At 48.3% G+C, this 20,701-nt stretch overlaps 1 protein-coding gene across 3 annotated transcripts in view, besides 2 other annotated features; it reads left to right on the top strand.

Moving 5' to 3' along the window:
• Positions 1 to 10,459: 10,459 nt before the first annotated feature.
• Positions 10,460 to 20,701, top strand: part of SNUPN (snurportin 1) — a 28,376-nt gene continuing 18,134 nt past the window's right edge. Inside the window, exons 1-3 of one of the 3 annotated variants that reach the window (NM_001042581.2) lie at positions 10,460 to 11,150; positions 15,865 to 16,027; positions 19,369 to 19,513. In NM_001042581.2, coding sequence (NP_001036046.1) covers positions 15,870 to 16,027; positions 19,369 to 19,513 — 303 coding nt within the window. In that variant the 5' untranslated portion in view covers positions 10,460 to 11,150; positions 15,865 to 15,869. Of the gene's footprint in view, positions 11,151 to 11,195; positions 11,256 to 15,864; positions 16,028 to 19,368; positions 19,514 to 20,701 lie in introns of those variants that run through there. The other 2 variants (NM_001042588.2, NM_005701.4) reach the window with 2 other exon arrangements.
• Positions 10,828 to 11,017: an enhancer, noted in NCBI's record as "active region_9859". NCBI's record gives its function as "activates an Ori minimal core promoter by ATAC-STARR-seq in GM12878 lymphoblastoid cells {active_cell/tissue: GM12878}" and the evidence as "EXISTENCE:reporter gene assay evidence [ECO:0000049][PMID:35858748]".
• Positions 11,668 to 11,717: a silencer, noted in NCBI's record as "silent region_6675". NCBI's record gives its function as "represses an Ori minimal core promoter by ATAC-STARR-seq in GM12878 lymphoblastoid cells {active_cell/tissue: GM12878}" and the evidence as "EXISTENCE:reporter gene assay evidence [ECO:0000049][PMID:35858748]".

The following is a 20,701-nucleotide window of genomic DNA, read 5'->3' as shown; positions in this document are numbered from 1 at the left end:
AAGCTGAGGCTGAGGCAGAAGAATAGCTTGAACCTGGGAGGCAGAGGTTGCAGTGAGCCGAGATCATGCCACTGCACTCCAGCCTGGGCGACAGAGTAAATAAATAAGTAAATAAATAAATAAACAAGAATAAAAGCTTTAGATTTAAGAAAAAAAATCTGCTAGGCATGGCGGCTCATGCCTGTAATCCCAGCACCTTGGGAGGCTGAGGTGGGCAGATCACCTGAGTTCAGGAGTTGGAGATCAGCCTGGCCCATGTGGCGAAACCCCGTCTGTACTAAAAATACAAAAATTAGGCGGGCATGGTAGTAGCCACCTGTAATCCCAGCTACTCAGGAGGCTGAGGCACAAGAATCTCTTGAACCCAGGAGGCGGAGGTTGCAGTGAGCCAAGATCGCACCACTGCACTCCAGCCTAGGGGACAGAGTGAGACTCTGTCTGAAAAAAAAAAAAGAAAAGAAAAAAAATGTAAGACAGTGATTCAGAAAGCAAGCTCTGGAGCCAAATAGCCTAGTCTGAGTCCTGACCCCTATGCTTAGCTAGCTGTGTAACATTGATTGTTTTACCGAGCCTCTCTGTGCCTCCGTTTTCCTCATCATAAAAATGTGGTAATATTGGAGGGGGGTGTGGAATTACTGTTTAATGGTACAGAGTTTCTGTTTTGGGTGATGATAATGTTTTGAAGGCTGGGCGTGGTGGCTCACTCTTGTAATCCTAGCACTTTGGGAGGCCGATGCAGGTGGATTGCTTGAGCCCAGGAGTTCAAGACCTGGGCAGCGTGGAAAAAAAAAAAAAAAAAAAAACCACAGAAATTAGTTGGGTGTGGTGATGTGTGCGTGTAGTCCCAGCTACTTGGGAGGCTGAGGTGGGAGGGTCACCTGAGCCCAGGGAGGTTGAGGGTGCAGTGAGCCATGATCACGCTCCAGCCTGGGTGACAGAACAGAGTGAGACCCAGTCTCAAAAAGAAAAAAAAAGTTTTGGAAAAACTTTCACAATGTAGAACAACACATTTCACATTCACAATGTAGTACAATGTGGTATAGTACAATAGTGGTGACTGTTGTACTACATTGCGAGTGTAATTAATACCACTGAATTAACACTTAAAAGTGGCTACAATGGTAAATTCTATGTTATGTATATTTTACCACATTTTTTAATGTGAAAAGGTGGGGGTAAAAAATAGTACTGACATTAAAAATTGTAGAGAGGAGGTCGGCGCGGTGGCTCACGCCTGCATTCCCAGCACTTTGGGAGACCAAGGCAGGTGGATCACATGAGGTCAGGAGTTCGAGACTAGCCTGGCCAACATGGTGAAACCTCATCTCTACTAAAAATACGGGCGTGGTGCTGCACGCTTGTAATCCCAGCTGCTCGGGAGGCTGAGGCAGGAAAATTGCTTGAACCCAGGAGGCAGAGGTTGCAGTGAGCCAAGATCGTGCCACTGCACTCCAGCCTGGGCAACAGAGCAAGACTGTCTCAAAAAAATAAAAAATAATCACTCAGCTAGCTAATAATGGCTACCCCAGCAGTGCTTACCACGCCCCAGGCTTTGTGCTGTCTCATGTAGTCCTCACAACAACCTTATGGGCACTATTATTATGGCCATTTTATCACTGACAGAACTAAAGCTCAAAGACAATAGCTTACCTGAGTCACAGAGTTAGCAATGGAGGCAGGTTTGCACCTAGTTCTCTCTGACTCCAGGTTCCACAATTTTAGCCACTCAGATACACCGGGACTGAGCCTACTATGGCTTGGAGCAGTGGTTCTCAAACTTGACCATGCCACATTTGAACCTTGGGGAAGGATTGTGAAAACAGATGCTGTCTCCACTCCATTCATGTTTCTTTTTTTTTTTTTTTTTTTTTTTTTTTTGAGATGGAGTCTTGCTCTGTTGCCCAGGCTGGAGTGCAGTGGCGCGATCTTGGCTCACTACAAGTTCCGCCTCCCGGGTTCACACCATTCTCCTGCCTCAGCCTTCCGAGTAGCTGGGACTACAGGCGCCCGCCACCACGCCCAGCTACTTTTTTGTATTTTTAGTAGAGACGGAGTTTCACCGTGTTAGCCAGGATGGTCTCAATCTCCTGACCCCGTGATGCGCCCACCTCGGCCTCCCAAAGTGTTAGGACTACAGGCGTGAGCCAACGCGCCCAGCCCCCTTCATGTTTCTGATTCAGGAGGTCTGGGGCGGGCCTGAGAATTTGCATTTCTAACAGGTTCCCAGGTGATTTTGGTGCTGCTAGTCAGGGGACCACACTTGGAAAAGCACAGGCCTTGTTCCTAGCCCAGTGCTTGGCACAGAGCAAACATCATGCAGATGCTGCATCCTATTCCAGCAGCAGAGGGGCAGAGAGGCTGCAGGGGCTTCAGGGAAGAGGGGTCTTGTCCGCCTCTGACTTGCTGCGGGACTGGGGGCATAAGCTTCTCCTTCTCTCTCTAGGCCTCCCTCCATCTCCTTTCTATGATAGGAAGAGGCAGGACGAGATGGCTCTAGTTTCTGCTCTGTTTCTGATTTAGAGAAAAGGATATAAAAGAGTGCTGTCAACACTTGCAAAGTAGAGAAGAATTTAGACGTGCTTCACTGCCCCAACAATCCCCAGCCCTGGCTCCAGAAAGCTGTGCAATCTTTAGGACAAACCTTGGTTTTAACATCCAAGAAAGGCCGGGTGCGGTGGCTCATGTCTATATTCCCAGCACTTTGGGAAGCCGAGGCGGGTGGATCACCTGAGGTCAGGAGTTCAAGACCAGCCTGGACAACATGGAGAAACCTTATCTCTACTAAACATACAAAAAATTAGCCTGGTGTCGTGGCAGGCCCCTATAATCCCAGCTACTCAGGAGGCTGAGACAGGAGAATCGCTCAAACCCAGGAGGTGGAGGTTGCAGTGAATCCAGATCAGGCCATTGCACTCCAGCCTGGGCAACAAGAGCGAAACTTCATCTCAAAGAAAAACCAAAAAAAATCCAAGAATGGGTCCCAACTTTGAAGCCCCTGGGCAGTTTGTAAAGGACATTTCCCCCCTACCTGGGGCCAGGCTGGTTCCCTGCATGGAAGGGCAGAATCTCAGCAGAGATGAACCAAATCACTCATTCATTCAGCTCATGAGCTGAAACTCAGGAGTGAAAGTAGACCCCTTAAAATATGAGGCAGGGCCCAGGTGCAGTGGTTTATGCCTGTAATCCCAGCACTTTGGGAAGCTGAGGTGGGAGGATTGAGCCCAGGAGTTTGAGACCAGCCTGGGCAACATAACCAGACCTTGTCTTTACAGGAAAAAAAAAAAAAAAAAAAAAGTAGCTGGGCATGGTGGCATTCACCTATGGTCCCAGCTACTCAGGGAGGCTGAGGTGGGAGGATCACTTGAGCCTAAGAGGTAGAAGCTGCTATGAGCTGTGATCACACCACTACACTCCAGCCTGGGGAACACAGCAAGACCCTGTCTCAAAAAAAAAAAAAAAATACAGGGCAGGCAACATTCCATGGGTCCATGGGATAAAAATCAGGGGTTTTGGCCAGGTTTATGCCTATAATCCCAACACTTTGGGAAGCCAAGGTGGGTGGATTGCTTGAGTCAAGAGTTCAAGACCAGCCTAGTCAACATGGCAAAACCCCATCTCTACTAAAAATATAAAAATCAGGCCTGGCGCGGTGGCTGAAAGTGCTGTAAACGCCCAAAGTGCTGTAATCCTAGCACTTTGGGAGGCTGAGGCTGGTGGATTGCCTGAGCTCAGGAGTTCGAGACCAGCCTGGGCAACACAGTGAAACCCTGTCTCTACAAAAAATTGGCCGGGTGTGACGGTGTGCACCTGTAATCCCAGCTACTTGGGAGCCTGAGGCAGGAGAATTGCTAGAACCCGGGAGGTGGAGGTTGCAGTGAGCCGAGATCGCGCCACTGCACTCCAGCCTGGGCAACAGAGCAAGACTCTGTCTCTAAAAAAAAAAAAAAAATCAACTGGGTGTGGGGGCAAGCACCTGTAGTCTCAGCTACTTGGGAGGCTGAGATCAGGGGATTGCTTGAGCCCGGGAGGTGGAGGTTACAGTGAGCCAAGATCACAGTACCGCACTCCAGCCTGGGTGACAGAGTGAGACCCTGTCTCAAAAAAAAAAAAAAAAAAAAGCCAGGCCCGGTGGCTCACGCCTGTAATCCCAGCACTTTGGGAGGCCGAGGCAGATGGATCACGTGAGGTCAGGAGTTCAAGACCAGCCTGGCCAACATGGTGAAACCCCATTTCTACTAAAAATAAAAAAAATTAGCCAGGCATGGTGGTGCGCGCCTGTAATCACAGCTACTCAGGAGGCTAGGGCAAAAGAATCACTTGAACCCTGGAGGCAGAGGTTGCAGTGAGCTGAGATCATGCTACTGCACTCCAGCCTTGGCAACGAGCAAAACTCTGTCTAAAAAAAAAAAAAAAAAAAGTCAGGAATTTTGGAGTCCGTAAGGGCTGAAAGTCTGGATTAAAATTCTCACCCAGTCACCCTCTGCCTGTACCTAACCTGGGCAAACTATGTCACCTCAAGTCTGGGCAAGCACTTTTGTCTGCAGAGAAGAGATTCTCTTGGGCTCACCTAAGTAGGTGTCAATTTATTTATTGTAGATATAAGTAAATCAGTCATGGAGGGGTTATTTTATAACAAGTTAAAGACTAACAAAACAGCACTTTTAAAGACTTACTCTGTGCCAGGTACTATTCTAATCACCTCACCTAGATTAGCTCAATGAAACTGTATAACAACCTTATGAGCTAGGTGCTGTTGTTAACCACATTTTACAGAGAGGGTAATTGAGCACAGAAGGTGAAATAACAAACCCAGGCCACTGTGCCAACAGGTACCTGAGTCTGGATTTGGATCTAGGCCATCTAGCTCCAGGGCCCAAGACCTTAATCCTTAACCACTTTCATGATTTCTCTCACCCAGGACTGGGGCTCAGGGACCTTGGGATGGGGGTGGGTTGGGGTGGGGTGGGAGTAGGGAAGAGGTTTGGCTCCCTGGAGCTTTAGGGTCCCCTGTGGCTGCAGTTTCTGTACCCTGGCTCCTGTGACCCCCTTTGATGCCTGACTTTGCCACCCTTTCACGTCTGCTTCTCCCTCCTAGCATAACTGGCTTCTTTTTTTTTTTTTTTTTTTTTGAGATGGAGTCTCATTCTGTTGCCCAGGCTGGAGTGCAGGGGCATAATCTTGGCTCACTGCAAACTCTGCCTCCTGGGTTCAAGCGATTCTTCTGCCCCAGCCTCCCCAGTACCTGCGATTACAGGTGCGTGCCACCATGCCTGGCTAATTTTTGTATTTTTAGTAGAGACGGGGTTTCACCATATTGGCCAGGCTGGTCTCAAACTCCTGACCTCGTAATCCACCTGCCTTGGCCTCCCAAAGTGCTGGGATTACAGGTGTGAGCCACTGCGACCAGCCATAACTGACTTTTTTTTTTTTAGACTGAGTCTCGCTCTGTCGCCCAGGCTGGAGTGCAGTGGCACAATCTTGGCTCACTGCAAGCACTGCCTCCCGGATTCACGCCATTCTCCTGCCTCAGCCTCCCGAGTAGCTGGGACTACAGGCGCCTGCCACCATACCCGGCTAAATTTTTATATTTTTTAGTAGAGACGGTGTTTCACCGTGTTAGCCAGGATGGTCTCAATCTCCTGACCTCGTGATTCCCCCGCCTCGGCCTCCCAAAGTGCTGGGATTACAGGCGTGAGCCACTGCACCCGGCCCATAACTGACTTCTTTACTGTCCTACAAGGTGTCTCCAGGTGGCCAATGAGAAGCACTGGTCCTCAAAATGGCTTAGATGGTGCATGGCCTTGGCCTTTAACAACATCGATTTAGGGAGGAAGTTGTTCCCTTTCCTATTTTCTCTCAGATCTAATAAACCTCAGGGGGAAAGTTTTGGCTGGGGACTAGACTAGGACGCATGTATAATTCGTGCTAATTTCCCCTATTTTATGAGTAATAAACTGGCCAGGCATGGTGGCTTACACCTGTAATCCCAGCACTTTGAGAAGCCAAGGCAGGAAGATCTCTTGAGCCCAGTTTTTCAAAACCAGCTTGGGCAATATAGCTAAACCTCGTCTCTAAAAAAATAAATTAGGCCAGGCGTGGTGGCTCAGGCCTGTAATCCCAGCACTTTGGGAGGCAGAGGTAGGCGGATCACCTGAGGTCAGGAGTTCAAGACCAGCCTGACCAATGTGGAGAAATCCCGTCTCTACTGAAAAATACAAAATTAGCCAGGCATGGTGGCTCATGCCTGTAATCCCAGCTACTTGGGAGGCTAAGGCAGGAGAATTGCTTTTTTTTTTTTTTGAGACAGAGTCGTCTCGCTCTGTCGCCCAAGCTGGAGTGCAGTGGTGCGATCTCGGCTCACTGCAAGCTCCGCCTCCCAGGTTCACGCCATTCTCCTGCCTCAGCCTCCCGAGTAGCTGGGACTACAGGCGCGTGCCACCACGCCCAGCTAATTTTTTGTATTTCTAGTAGAGATGGGGTTTCACCGTGTTAGCCGGGATGGTCTCGATCTCCTGACCTTGTGATCCACTCGCCTCGGCCTCCCAAAGTGCTGGGATTACAGGCGTGAGCCACTGCGCCCGGCGGCAGGAGAATTGCTTGAACCCGGGAGGTGGAGGTTGCGGTGAGCCGAGATAGCACCATTGCACTCCAGCCTGGGCAACAAGGGCGAAACTCCATCTCAAATAAATAAATAAATAAGATAAATAAATAAATTAGCTGGGTGTGGTGGCATGCACCTGTAGTTCCAGCTACTTGAGAGGCTGAGGTGGAAGGATCACTTGAGCCCAGGTGATTGAGGCTGCAGTGAGTTGTGATCAAACCATTGCACTCTAGCCTGAGCAACAGAGTAAGACTCCATCTCAATAAAAAGAGTAACAAACTGTCCAGGTTTTATTTTTAGATTATATCTTAATCCTATCACATCCCCCGACATACTTTCATGCAAGGTCTGCTCACTGGCTTCCACGCCTCCACACTTGGTTGCCTACATTCAGTTGTCTACCAAGTAGCCAGCGGGAGCTCACTAAAGCTGGAATCTGCTATCTCATAACTGTTTAAAAACCCTCATCTGCAGACAGGCATGGTGGCTCACACCTGTAATCCCAGCACTTTGGGAGGCCAAGGTGGGCGGATCACCTGAGGTCAGGAATTCGAGACCAGCCTGGCCAACATGGTGAAACCCCGTGTCTACTAAAAATATAAAAATTAGCCAGGCATGGTGGCGCATGCCTGTAATCCCAGCTACTTGGGAGGCTGAGGCAGGATTGCTTGAACCTGGGAGACGGAGGTTGGAGTGAGCAGAGATCGCACCACTGCACTCCGGCCTGGGCGACAGAGCAAGATATGTCTCAAAAACAAAAACAACCCCCACGCACCCCCCAAAAAAATAAACCCTCTTCAGCAGTGGAGGTAAAATCCAAACTCCCCACCGTGGCCTGAGGCCCTTACCTGCCCCTGTGTCCCAGCAGCCTCTGTGATCTTACCTCCCTCCATTTCCCCTCTGGGCTGGACACCTTCCTGCTCTCAACCTTCTCTTTTCTAAGTAAGGATTCTCCTGCCCATGGGCAACCAGAAGATTTTAAGGGGTACACAGATTCCACTTTAATGACATTGAATAATAGAGTGAGAAAGTGGTTCTTCCCTCTTCTGTCCTCTTTGAATTTTTCTGATTACGTCAAAGAAAAATTCTGTTAGTGTGACTCCTTATCACTTCAACACTTGCTAATCTCTGATTTTTACAAAGTCCCCAGACTTACAGCTTTCTGCAGACATCCATATCTATCTAGCAAGATTATATTAGGTTGGTGCCATTAATTTTAATGGCAAAAACTGCAATTACTTTTTTTTTTTTTTTGAGAAGTAGTTTCACTCTTGTTGCCCAGGCTAGAGTGCAATGGCGCCATCTTGGCTCACCACAACCTCTGCCTCCTGGGTTCAAGCGATTCTCCTGCCTCAGCCTCCTGAGTACCTGAGATTACAGGCATGTGCCACCACGCCCGGCTAATTTTATATTTTTAGTAGAGACGGGGTTTCTCCATGTTGGTCAGGCTGGTCTCAAACTCCCGACCTCAGGTGATTTGCCCGCCTCGGCCTCCCAAAGTGCTGGGATTACAGGCGTGAGTCACTGCGCCCGGCCAAAAACTGCAATTACTTTTGCACCAGCCTATAACATTATTTTCACGTATTTATTTATTTACTTATTTTTGAGATGGAGTTTCGCTCTTGTTGCCCAGGCTGGAGTGCAATGGCGCGATCTCGGCTCACTGCAACCACCGCTTCCTGGGTTCAAGCAATTCTCTTGCCTCAGCCTCCCGAGTAGCTGGGATTACAGGCATGCACCACCATGCCCAGCTAATTTTGTATTTTTAGTAGAGACAGGGTTTCTCCATGTTGGTCAGGCTGGTCTCGAACTCCTGACCTCAGGTGATCTGTCTGCCTCAGCCTCCCAAAGTGCTAGGATTATAGGCATGAGCAATGTATTTATTTTATAGATACCTTCTAATAAAGTGGGAAGTGATTGATGTAAGGTAATGCTATGATGTTGCCCTTTTTTTTTTTTTTTTTGAGACAGAGTCTTGCTCTGACACCAGGCTGGAGTGCAGTAGCGCGATCTCGGCTCACTGCAACCTCCGCCTCCCAGGTTCAAGTGATTCTCCTGCCTCAGCCTCCCGAGCAGCTGGGACTACAGGCATGCGCCACCATGCCCAGATAATTTTTGTATTTTTAGTAGAGATGGGGTTTCACCATGTTGGCCAGGATGGTCTGGATCTCTTGACCTTGTGATCTGCCCGCCTTGGCCTCCCAAAGTGCTAGGATTACAGGCATGAGCCACCACACCTGGCCAATGTTGCCCTTTTAAATAAATGTAGTCAGGCTTTTTTCTTAAATTAATTGATTTAAAGACATAAAGCACAGTGTGTGCATGTGGCCAACATTCTGAAGCTGAGATTCCAGAGGTAGCCCCTTCTGAAACACCCACTGGCTCTAAATGAACCCCTGGGCCAGGTGCTCTGGTTTTTGTTTGTTTTGAGACAGAGTCTCCAGGCTGAGTGCAGTGGCAGGATCACAGCTCACTGCAGCCATGACTTCCTGGGCTCAAGTGATCCTCCCACCTCAGCCTTCCAAGTAGTTGGGATCATGACTCATACCACTACACCTAGCTAATTTTTTTTTTGTGGAGATGGGTTTTTGTCATGTTGCCCAGGCTGGTCTCAAACTCATGGGCTACTTCCACCTTGGCCTCTCAAAGTGGTGGGATTACAGGCATGAGCCACAGTGCCTGACCTGGTTTTGTTTTGTTTTTTCAGTGATATGGGAAGTTATTCAGCTAGGTGTGAGTGAGGAACTAGAACATTTCTCCTGGACCTCCAGGCATGAATTTGGGAACTTCTTTCTCAGTCTCAGTCTATTTTCCTAAAATGTTTAAGGTCTTTATTCTTTTCTATGCAGCCCGACCATTAGATGTGACCTCCGTGGTTGTAAGGGATGGTTGTTTGGACACAAAATACCTAATATCCTGGGTGTCAAAATTCCCTAGTGAAGTCAGGCCCTGGACTTCTCTTTTTTGTCAGTCTCATAAATCAGGCAGACATGAGCTTTTATTTGTGGATGCACCAAATAAATACCCTAGTGGACAGCTTTGCTCAGCCTGGCCACTGAAAGAGCCACCTAAATAAAATCTCAGGTCCAGGCCGGGTGCGGTGGCTCACGCCTTTAATCCCAGCACTTTGGGAGGCCGAGGCGGGCAGATCATGAGGTCAGGAGATCGAGACCATCCTGGCTAACACAGTGAAACCCCGTCTCTACTAAAAATACAAAAAAATTAGCCGGGCATGGTGGCAGGCGCCTGTAGTCCCAGCTACTCAGTAGGCTGAGGCAGGAGAATGGCGTGAACCCGGGAGGCGGAGCTTGCAGTGAGCGGAGATTGCGCCACTGCACTCCAGAGCCTGGGCGACAGAGCGAGACTCCATCTCAAAAAAATAAAAAAAAATCTCACGTCCAGAAAAATTGGCCTTCCAGGGCCCCAGAACCCTTTTTACCAGTCTAGTAATAGCCTTTCATCAGCCTAATTTCCTATTCTTTTTAGTCTGAATGTATGGTGTAATGTGCATAAAATACACAAGTCCAAATTTTAGCATTCCGTGGACGCAAAATGTGCCAAAGGTGGATACTTTGCTTCTGTCATACATCGGTAGTCAACTTCCCTATACATCAAACTTTCAGCAAATTCAAACATTTTCCTTGAAAGCTGTGTTACTTTGGCCAAATTACTTAACCTCTCTGAGCTTCAGTGTGTCTACTTCCTCATGTCATGATTAAGAGTTAATATCTACTGGCTTAAAAAAGAAAAAAAAGGAAAAAAATTAAATGAGATGATGGGTGTGAAGCAGGGATTGGCTGAATGTAAGCATTCAATAAATATTCAGTTTTAAAATTGTAATCTCAGCCTTCCCGCCCTGCAGAGGCTACACCCTGGCAGGACTTAATCTCCTAAATCTCTGCCGCTTACCCTAGTCTTTTGCACCAATTTAATCATTCCTTCACGCAGGGTCTACTGAGCGCCATCCCTTGTGCTGGACTCTGGCTACTTAAATAGGAATCAAGCCAGGTCCCTACCATTGCTCAGCCCGCAGCCGAGTGGGAAAGAAGCTCGCAAAAGCAGCAAACAGGCAGTAATCGAGGTATGTATCTGCTTTTGTTAAGGGCAAGTGGGGGAGCGAAGGTCTGTGTCTGAAACTTGGGTGTGAGGGGTTAGTTGGAGTAATCCAGGCAATTGGCACTGCCCGTTTAAGAGCACGGGCCCAAGAGGGGAAGGGGACTCCAGGTGAAGCCCTAAGGCCCGGGAAGATCTGCGGGAGGCGGCAGGGCCCAGGGCGTTGAATGCCCGGCCACAAGATCAGCCTCCTCCCATTGGCGAAAGGAGCCCCGAAGAGCTTGTGTTCAGGAGGGAGGCCTCGGCCTGGTCAAGTCATCTAGCAGGAAGAGTCCCGGACAGTGCAAAGCAAATGCAAGAAGACCCCCTCCCTAGCCGATGGGAAATGCCCCAGCCGTTGAAGGCGGAAATAACGGCCTGTAGGCAACGGAACTCCCAGCGTTCGCAAAGGAGGGAGGAGCCGGAAACTCAGGGCGCGAGGCCTGTGGGCCCAGCGGTGAGGCAGCAGCTGGGGGCGGGGGGAGGGCGGACCTAGCTTCCCAGGGCAGGTGATTCGTCGGCCCCGGTGGCGGCGGCGCGTGCGACGGTCACCTCGGTTTGGGTGAGTCCCTGGGTTCGAGCCCGGGCCCCGCCAGCTGCCGAGTTGCCTCTCGGTGCCGGACTGTGACTCCCTCTGGCCGGCCCTGCACTCTGGCCTCCTGGGACGTCATCTGGAGGGATAGAGCCAGGCCTGGGACTCCTTTTGGGAGAGTTTCCGTTCTTCTATTCCGTGCTGTCCGGCCAGGACCCCTCAGGGACTTCTGTGGGGCAGGGGCGAATCATGCATGGCCTAGATGACCCCATGCCTAGAAAAAGGCAGTGCGGGGCGGTGGCGGCGCGCACGGCCGAGTGAAGCAGATAGCGTCCCCGGGGCTGGAGCCCGGTAGCAGGGGTAGGGAAACGCGGAGGCTGCCAGGATGCGGACCCAGGGGACGCGAGGCGGGGGCGCCGGATGGGGAGACGCGAAGGAGGGGGAAGGGGATGGGGGAGGGGGCTAGACAGGGAGGGAGGGTGGAGCGTGGGCGGGGCCTGGGGCGGGTCGGACTTTAGGGAGTTGGAGCGGGGGTTACTGGTGCTAAGACCACCTGGGGCTAAGGTCCGAACACTTGGAGGCAGCACCATCCAAGGAATGGGTTGAAACAGCAGGAGCCCGGCGGGGCGCAGTGGCTCACGCCTGTAATCCCAGCACTTTGGGAGGCCGAGGTGGGCGGATCACCTGAGGTCAGGAGTTTGAGACCAGCCTGACCAACATGGTGAAACCCCATCTGTACTAAAAATACAAAAAAAATTAGCCGGGCGTTGTGGCGCGTGCCTGTAATCCCAGCTACTCGGGAGGCTGAGGCAGGAGAATCGCTTGAATCCGGGAGATGGAGGTTGCAGTGAGCCGAGATCATGCCACTGCACTCCAGCCTGGGCAACAAGAGCGAAACTCTGTCTCAAAAAAAAAACAACAACAACAAAGAAAAAACAAAACGAAACAGCAGGAACCCGCCAAGAACAGCCTTGAAGGAAGGTAAAGGAACCGCCCCAGTATCCAGGACATCAGTTTTTCTTTTTTTTTTCTTTTTGAGACGAAGTCCAGGCTGGAGTGCAGTGGCACGATCTCGACTCACTGCAAGCTCCGCCTTACGGGTTCAAGCCATTCTCCTGCCTCAGCCTCCCGAGCATCTGGGACTACAGGCGCCCGTCACCATGCCTGGCTAATTTTTTTGTATTTTTTTTTTTTTTTTTAGTAGAGACGGGGTTTCACTGTGTTAGCCAGGATGGTCTCGATCTCCTAACCTCAGGTGATCTGCCCGCTTCAACCTCCCAAAGTGCTGGGATTACAGGCGTGAGCCACCGCGCCAGGCCCAGGACATCAGTTTCAAAGGTTGTGTGGTTCTTGGCAGAGCGGGAGCCCACACCAAGATAGTGCATGATAGGCCTAATAAAGGTGCTTTGGATTTGGTCATTACTTTGGTGATGAACTGAAAACATAATGACTTTTTAAAAATTTTTATCGGCCGGGCGCGGTGGCTCACGCCTGTAATCCCAGCACTTTGGGAGGCCGAGGCGGGCGGATCACGAGGTCAGGAGATCGAGACCATCCCGGCTAAAACGGTGAAACCCCGTCTCTACTGAAAATACAAAAAATTAGCCGGGCGTAGTGGCGGGCGCCTGTAGTCCCAGCTACTTGGGAGGCTGAGGCAGGAGAATGGCGTGAACCCGGGAGGCGGAGCTTGCAGTGAGCCGAGATCCCGCCACTGCACTCCAGCCTGGGCGACAGAGCGAGACTCCGTCTCAAAAAAAAAAAAAAAAAAAATTTTATCATGAAAGCTTTCAAACTTACACAAAAGTACAGAAAAGTAGAGACAATAGCATACATACCATTATGGATGATTTGAATAACATACCATATGGATCCCAAGCACTCATCATGAGGCCTCAGTCACTCAGGAATGGCAACCCTTGGTTGCATTGCAAAGATATTAAGGCACACCTCAAGCCGGGTGCAGTGGCTCATGCTTGTAATTCCAGCACTTTGGGAGGCTGAGGCAGGCAGATCACTTCAGGTCAGGAGTTTCAGACCAGCCACGCCAACATAATGAAACCTCTTCTCTACTAAAAATACAAAAATTAGCCGAGCATGGTGGTGCATGTCTATAATCCCAGCTACTCAGGAGGCTGAGGCAGGAGAGTTACTTGAACCCAGGAGGTGGAGGCTGCAGTGAGCCGAGATCACACCACTGTAGTCCAGCCTGGGAGACAAAGTGAGACCCTGTCTCAAAAAAAAAAAAAAGGCCGGGCGTGGTGGCTCACACCTGTAATCCCAGCACTTTGGGAGGCCAAGGTGGGCAGATCAGGAGGTCGGGAGATCGAGACCATCCTGGCTAACACGGTGAAACCCCGTCTCTACTAAAAAATACAAAAACAAAATTAGCCGGGCGTGGTGGCGGGCGCCTGTAATCCCAGCTACGCGGGAGGCTGAGGCAGGAGAATCACTTGAACCTGGGAGGCGGAGGTTGTGGTGAGCCAAGATCGTGCCATTGTGCTCCAGCCTGGGCAACAAGAGTGAAACTCTGTCTCAAAAAAAAAAAAGTTTCTTTTATGTTTAAAGGTTACAGAGGTTCAGTTATTCAAGATAAAAGGAGTTCTGGAGAGTTCTGCACAGCAGTGTTGAACATACTTAACTTTACAGAACTGTACACCTACAAATGGTTAAGATGATGAATTTCATGATATGTGTATTTAGCCACAATTTTTTTTTCTTTTTACAGACAAGGTCTTGCTATATTGCCCAGGCTGGCTTCGAACTCCTGGGCTCAAGCATACCTCCTGCCTCAGCCTCCAGAGTAGCTGGGACTAAAGGCAAGCACAACTGCACCTGGCAAACCACGATTTTTAAGTTCCTTTTAAATTAAACAAAATCTAATGTTTCAAATCAAGAAAAATATCTGACTTCACTTGTGCAATGGAAAGTAACTCACTGGCCAAGTAGAGGCCTATGGAGTTGTATTTTTCACTGTAGAGGCTCTGGAATGAACCTGTTGATTTTGATGCTCAGAGCACTGGACCTGGCCTGGGATGGAGGTTAAGCACTGGAGGTGCCCTCTGGTTTACACTAGAACCAAAGGGCTGGGCCAGCCCAGCAGTGCAAGTCAGATTTCTCCCAAATGTTCCTGTTTTCTTATAATCTAAGGCTCACAGGCGCTTGAATGAAGTGTGAATTCACCTTTCTCCCCACTCCCATTCTTTAGGGTCCACCTAAAGTGGGAAGTCTGTTTTCAAAATGACATCTACTCCATGCCTGTCTTGTTTCCCTAATGTACTTTATGGAAGTTCTTCACACTACTGGAGCATTGACGTTACTTGTTAAGCAGCCTTCCACATCCTAGCTCTTTTCCAAGTGAGTCCCACATAAGTAGCCCTGAAACCTTCTTTCTGCCCACCCAAAAACAAAACACAACTAGAATATGAGGAAGTAACAATCAGATTTTTTAAAAAATAAATTATAATTTAAAATAATTTTTTACTTTTTTATTTAAAAAGTAGAGACATAGTCTCACTACATTGTCCAGGTTGGTCTTGAACTACTGGCCTCAAGTGATCCTCCTGCCTTGGCCTCCCAAAGTGCTGGGATTACAGGCATGAGCCACCTGTAATCCCAGGTCGCTAGAGTTTGTTTTTTTGTTTGTTTGTTTGTTTGTTTTTTGAGATGAAGTCTTGCTGTGTCGCCCAGGCTGGAGTGCAGTGGCACGATCTCGGCTCACTGCAACCTCCGCCTCCCAGGTTCAAGCGATTCTTCTGCCTCAGCCTCCCGAGTAGCTGGGATTACAGGCGCCTGCCACCACATCCAGCTAGTTTTTGTATTTTTAGTAGAGACGGGGTTTCACCATGTTGGTCAGGCTGGTTTCGAACTCCTGACCTTGTGATCCACCCACCTCGGCCTCCCAAAGTGCTGGGATTACAGGCATGAGCCATCGTGCCTGGCGAGTTTGGGGTTTTTGATTGCTTTTGTCTTCCTCCAGGGACCCTAGAACCAGTGTTTCCTCTGGAATTAAATTTTCATAATATGAGTTGGCACTTAGTTGAGAATTAAATAACCAATTGAATAAACTGCATGGAGAGTTATATTGGTTAATGAGTGATGGCTATTCAGGAAACTGTAGAGGAACTGCTCAGAAAAGGCCGGGCGCAGTGGCTCACACCTATAATGCCAGCACTTTGAGAGGCTGAGGAGGGAAGATTGCTTGAGCCCAAGAGTTCAAGACTAGCCTAGGCAACATAGGGAGATCCCGTCTGTACCAATAAATTTTAAAATTGGCTGGGTGTGGTGGTGTATACCTGTAGTCTCAGTTACTGGGGAAGCTGAGGTGGGAGGATTGCTTGGGTCCAGTAGATTGAGGCAACAGTGAGCTGTGATTGCACCACTACACTCCGACCTGGGTGATAGAGAGAGACCCTGTCTCAAAAAAAAAAAAAAAAGGAAATATCTGTAGGAAAATAATGTTATTGCTAATATATGACTCATTTACCCTTTAACTTCCTTTTGTCTCATGGAAACACTTGTGATTTTGCATTAAGTTAATTTTTTTTCAGGAATGTGGCCATCATATCATAACTGCATAACTGTCTGTATACAGGAGATGATATGAAATGAATGAACCATTTTCTTACGTTTTCCTTTGTAGGGAAGATGGAAGAGTTGAGTCAGGCCCTGGCTAGTAGCTTTTCTGTGTCTCAAGATCTGAACAGCACAGCTGCCCCACACCCCCGCCTATCCCAGTACAAGTCCAAGTACAGTTCCTTGGAGCAGAGTGAGCGCCGCCGGAGGTTACTGGAACTGCAGAAATCGTAAGGAAGCTTTAACTCCTTGTCTTCTTTCTCTGGGCTAGGAGCTATGAACCATTCCGAAGGCTCTAGGCTTGTCTCTACAGACTCTCCCTTCAAAGTAGACTCTTTGTAGGCTGATCTTCTTGCCCACAGGTTGGGAGGGGTAAATCCTGGCAGAGGTAGGTTTCTTTTATACCCAGAGCTTAGGAGAAGATGAGGAATTAGGGAGACACCGAAGTTTGAAACCAAAAGCTCAATTATTTGGTTAAGTTTTTCTTTTTTTCCTGGCAGCTGTACTGAGCTCTGTGGTTTAGGAACTTGCGAAAGCCACGCCCAGACTTTCACTCCCCACATTTCCTGGGATGCTTGTGTTTGGCTTCTGCACTCTGAATGCTGGTATTGGTGTGGTCTTCCCATCTGCCTTCAGCCCAAATGTTTCTGTGGCACTCTTGGGAGTTCAAGACAAATAATTCCTAAGGGAATCTGAGGAAATGTCTTCCATATACTTAATTCTAAGTGCCAAGATGTGCAAACAGGGAAAGAGGGCAGGATAAGAGTGTTTGAGGCTGAGCTACTCTGAAGGCAGGGCCGATCCTTGTATTCTCAATGCAGCATGGGCCTCTTCTGGGTCATAAATTAAGGAATTAGGGATCAGAAGAAACTACTAACAGCTGCATAGTTTCCATACAGTCTGCATTTTGCCCAGTGTTGCATCACTGGTTGTGTTTGGCAGAGATGGTTCCCTGTGGCTCTGGGTGGCTTGCAGAATACATTCCCAGATCATTCCTCTCCCCATTTTTAAAAATGTAGTTATCTTTGAATAGGTAATACATTTGTATGGTTGAAAATTTAAAATATACATAAGAGGCCGGGCATGGTGGCTGACGCCTGTAATCCCAGCACTTTGGGTGGCCGAGGTGGGTGGATCACCTGAGGTCAGGAGTTCGAGACTGGCCTGACCAACATGGCGAAAACTTGTCTCTACTAAAAATACAAAAATTAGCCCGACATGGTGGTGCGTGCCTGTAGTCCCAGCTACTCGGGAGGCTGAGACAGGAGAATCACTTGAACCCGGGAGGTGGAGGTTGCAGTGAGCCGAAATCGCGCCATTGCACTCCAGCCTGGGCAACACAGCTAGACTCTCTCAAATAAATAAATAAATAAATAAAATAAATAGAAGAGTATATGGTGAGGTCTTCCCATTTCTGTCCCCTAGCTATCCAGTTCCTCTCCTATATTATTAGTTTCTGGTGTATCCTTCCAAATATATATATATTTTAGACAGGGTGTCACTGTGTTGTTCGGGCTGGAGTGTGCAGATCCCGGCTCACTGCAGCCTCAACCTCTCAGGCTCAGGTGATCCTCCCACCTCAGCCTCTGAAGTAGGTGGGACTACAGGCACACTCCATAGCACCTGGCTAATTTTTTTATATTTTGTAGGAACAGGGTCTCCCTATATTGCTCAGGCTGATCTTGAACTCCTAGGCTCAACTGATCCTCCCACCTTGACCTCCCAAAGTGCTGGGATTTCAGACGTCAGCCACTACGCCTGGCCCTTCCGAAGATATTCTATACATATATGAGCAAGTGTGTGTGGTAGTATGTGTACAAAAGCTTTTTTTTTTTTTGACTCTATCTCCCAGGCTGAGTACTGTGGCATGATCTTGGCTCACTGCAACCTCAGCCCCTCAAGTAGCTGGGACCACTGGTGCAGGCCACCACACCCAGCTAATTTTTTTATTTTTGGTAGAAACACAATTTCACCATGTTGCCCAAGCTGGTCTTGAACTCCTGAGCTCAAGTGATCTGGCCAATTCACCCTCCCAGAGGGCTGGGATTACAGGCAGGAGCCACTGCACCTGGCTTTTTTTTTTTTTTTTTTTTTTTTTTTTAACACAAGTAGCAGTATACTATATACTGTTCTGCACATTTATTTAGTGGTGTTTTGGGGGAGAAATTCTATATCAGTTCATAAAGTACCACATCATTCCTTTTTCGTGGTGCTAGGTATTCCGTGGAATGGATACTTCATAATGCCATCAAGCCAGTCCCTCCTGATGGGCATCTGGGCAGTTTTCTTCTCTTGTGATTACAAACAATGTTCAGGAAATAACCACAGACAGACTTTCTTTCACACATGTACAAATATACCAGCTCTTTTATTCTCGAGATAAAAGACCATTGTGCTTTCATATGTTCTCTCTGGTGTGTGCCTTTTTATAATGAGCATGAACATGTATGTGTTTAAGAGAAACCAGCTGTGTTGGTTTCACTGCCTCAGTGGTTGAATTCCTGCCTTAGCATTGAAGAAATCAAATGTGGGAGGTTATGTGGTATTTCCAAATCACTTTGAAACAATTAGGTTCCAAAAGATTCTTTTTTTTTCTTTTCAGTTTCCCAAACTTTCTAGCATGTGTTGTTTTAAAACAAGATAACGATAAAGGGAAACAAATAAATAAAATATATTAAATTGTAAACTAAGTGACCTTTTTTGAAAGTTAGACAGGAACTGGAGAAAGGCCTGGCTTCTGAGAAAGCTGTATAAGCTGGGCACAGTGGCATACACCTACGGTCCGTAAAAAAAAAAGTTCTCTTTAAAAACAAAAAAGGTGTATAAGGCAGAAATCTCCAGAAGCTGTCCTTGCTTTAGACTTCTCACTGCATCTCAGTGGCTCTTCTCTTCCACCCCTGGGGTCTTTGGATGAGATGTCTGCTAGGCAGGAAGGTGTCAGCTCTCATCTGGGGTGGGATGGGGTAGGGGTGAAGCTAGCCTTTCCATCTAGTGAACCTTGGAAATTTCTTTAGATATTTTATTTTGCATTCTTAGGAAACTCTGAGGAAGGCTGAGTGTATTCAGAGGGGGTTTCGCTATTTAGGATTTTGAGGGGGCGGTCACTGTTTTAGCCTTGCAAAGGAGATTCCATCATTTCTTACTTCCACCAGAATCCCCAAGTTGCTCCCAAATTTGGAGCTTTTGAATTAAATGTGTCGCATTATAGGGCATCTTCCTAAAAGACATAAAGACCTGCCCTGGCCAGATGCGGTGGTTCATGCCTAATAATCCCAGCACTTTGGGAGGCTGAGGCAGGCAGATCACTTGAGGCCAGGAGTTTGAGACCAGCCTGGGCAACATGGTGAAACCCCATCTCTACAAAAAATACAAAAATTAGCCAGGGGTGGTGGTGTGTGCCTGTAGTCCCACCTACTGTGGAAGCTGAGGTGGGAAGATCACTTGAGCCCAGGAGGTTGAGGCTGCAGTGAGCTGAGATTGCACCATTCCAGCCTGGGCAACAGAGCGAGACCCTGTCTAAAAAAAAAAAAAGAAGAAAAGATATGTCCTTATGCCTTTTTTTTCCTTCCAGCAAGCGGCTGGATTATGTGAACCATGCCAGAAGACTGGCTGAAGATGACTGGACAGGGATGGAGAGTGAGGAAGAAAATAAGAAAGATGATGAAGAAATGGACATTGACACTGTCAAGAAGTTACCAAAACACTATGCTAATCAAGTAAGTGGTCCAGAGAAGATGAGACCCAGCTAATCTCACTCCCTTTACTATGCAGTCAAAGCCCACTGAAATAAATGCTGTCATAAAGAGAGGAGAATGAGGCAGGAAAAAGGAATAGGAACTGCAAAGAACATGCCAGTGTACGTAGATCATATGGGATGATAAGTAGAGATGGCTTACTGTGCTATGGACTGACTAGGAATCACTGATGGAATCTGTGGGTAGTGGGGTTTGGGAACTATTAGCCTGTGCTGTTACCAAAGGCTGCCAGCCCACTGCAGAAAGCCCCTGAGCTATTGATATAGTAACACACTCCATATCCTTGTCATTTTTTTTAGTTGTCACTGCACAGCTGTTCTGGATTGGGCCTGCCCAGCCTACCACTGACTCCTTCCACTTCCCTGGGTGGTAGAGTCTTTCCCAGGCAGTGTACTATGAGGCCAGTCTTGAAATTTCACACTCAGGTGGTGGCAAGTGGGAAGTACAGCTGCCCTTGAATAAAGTGAGCCTGCCCAGCCACCCCAGACCAGCCAGCTGGCCAAGGTGAGGTTCAGGCCATGAAGCAGCAGATCACTATAATAAACCTGACTCAGTGCCCTTTTAGATCCAGAGAGGAAACCAACATGGCTGTGGTACCATAGGGAAAGAGGTATGGAGAGAGACTGTTCTTGTGTTCCAGGCAGCTCAGGTATTTCAGAAAGCAGGGTATGGGTCCAAGTTGGGATGGAGGTCTACCCTGCTATCATATACTTGTGTCTAGAACCCAAGTATCTTGTCATCTCAGAATTCTCCCCTGCCTTTAGAATATGGTTCCTGGGCCTGAGTGTGGTGGCTCATACCTGTAATCCCAGCAATTTGGGAGGCCAAGGTGGGAGGATTACTTGAAGCCAGGAGTTCAAGACCAACCTGGCTAACATAGTGAGACCCCATCTCTTTTTTTTTCTTTTTTGAGACAGAGTTTTGCTCTTGTTGCCCAGGCTGGAGTGCAGTGGTACGATCGTGGCTCACTGCAACCTCTGCCTCCCGGGTTCAAGCAGTTCTCCTGTTTCAGCCTCCCGAGTAGCTGGGATTACAGATGCCTGCCACCACACCCGGCTAAGTTTTTGTATTTTTAGTAGAGACAGGGTTTCACCATGGTGGACAGGTTGGTCTCGAACTCCCGACCTCAGGTGATCCACCCCCCTCGGC

Source organism: Homo sapiens, chromosome 15 (genome assembly GCF_000001405.40).
Source record: "Homo sapiens chromosome 15, GRCh38.p14 Primary Assembly".
Classification (NCBI taxonomy): Eukaryota; Metazoa; Chordata; class Mammalia; order Primates; family Hominidae; genus Homo; species Homo sapiens.
This window is presented reverse-complemented; position numbering and strand designations above follow the sequence as displayed.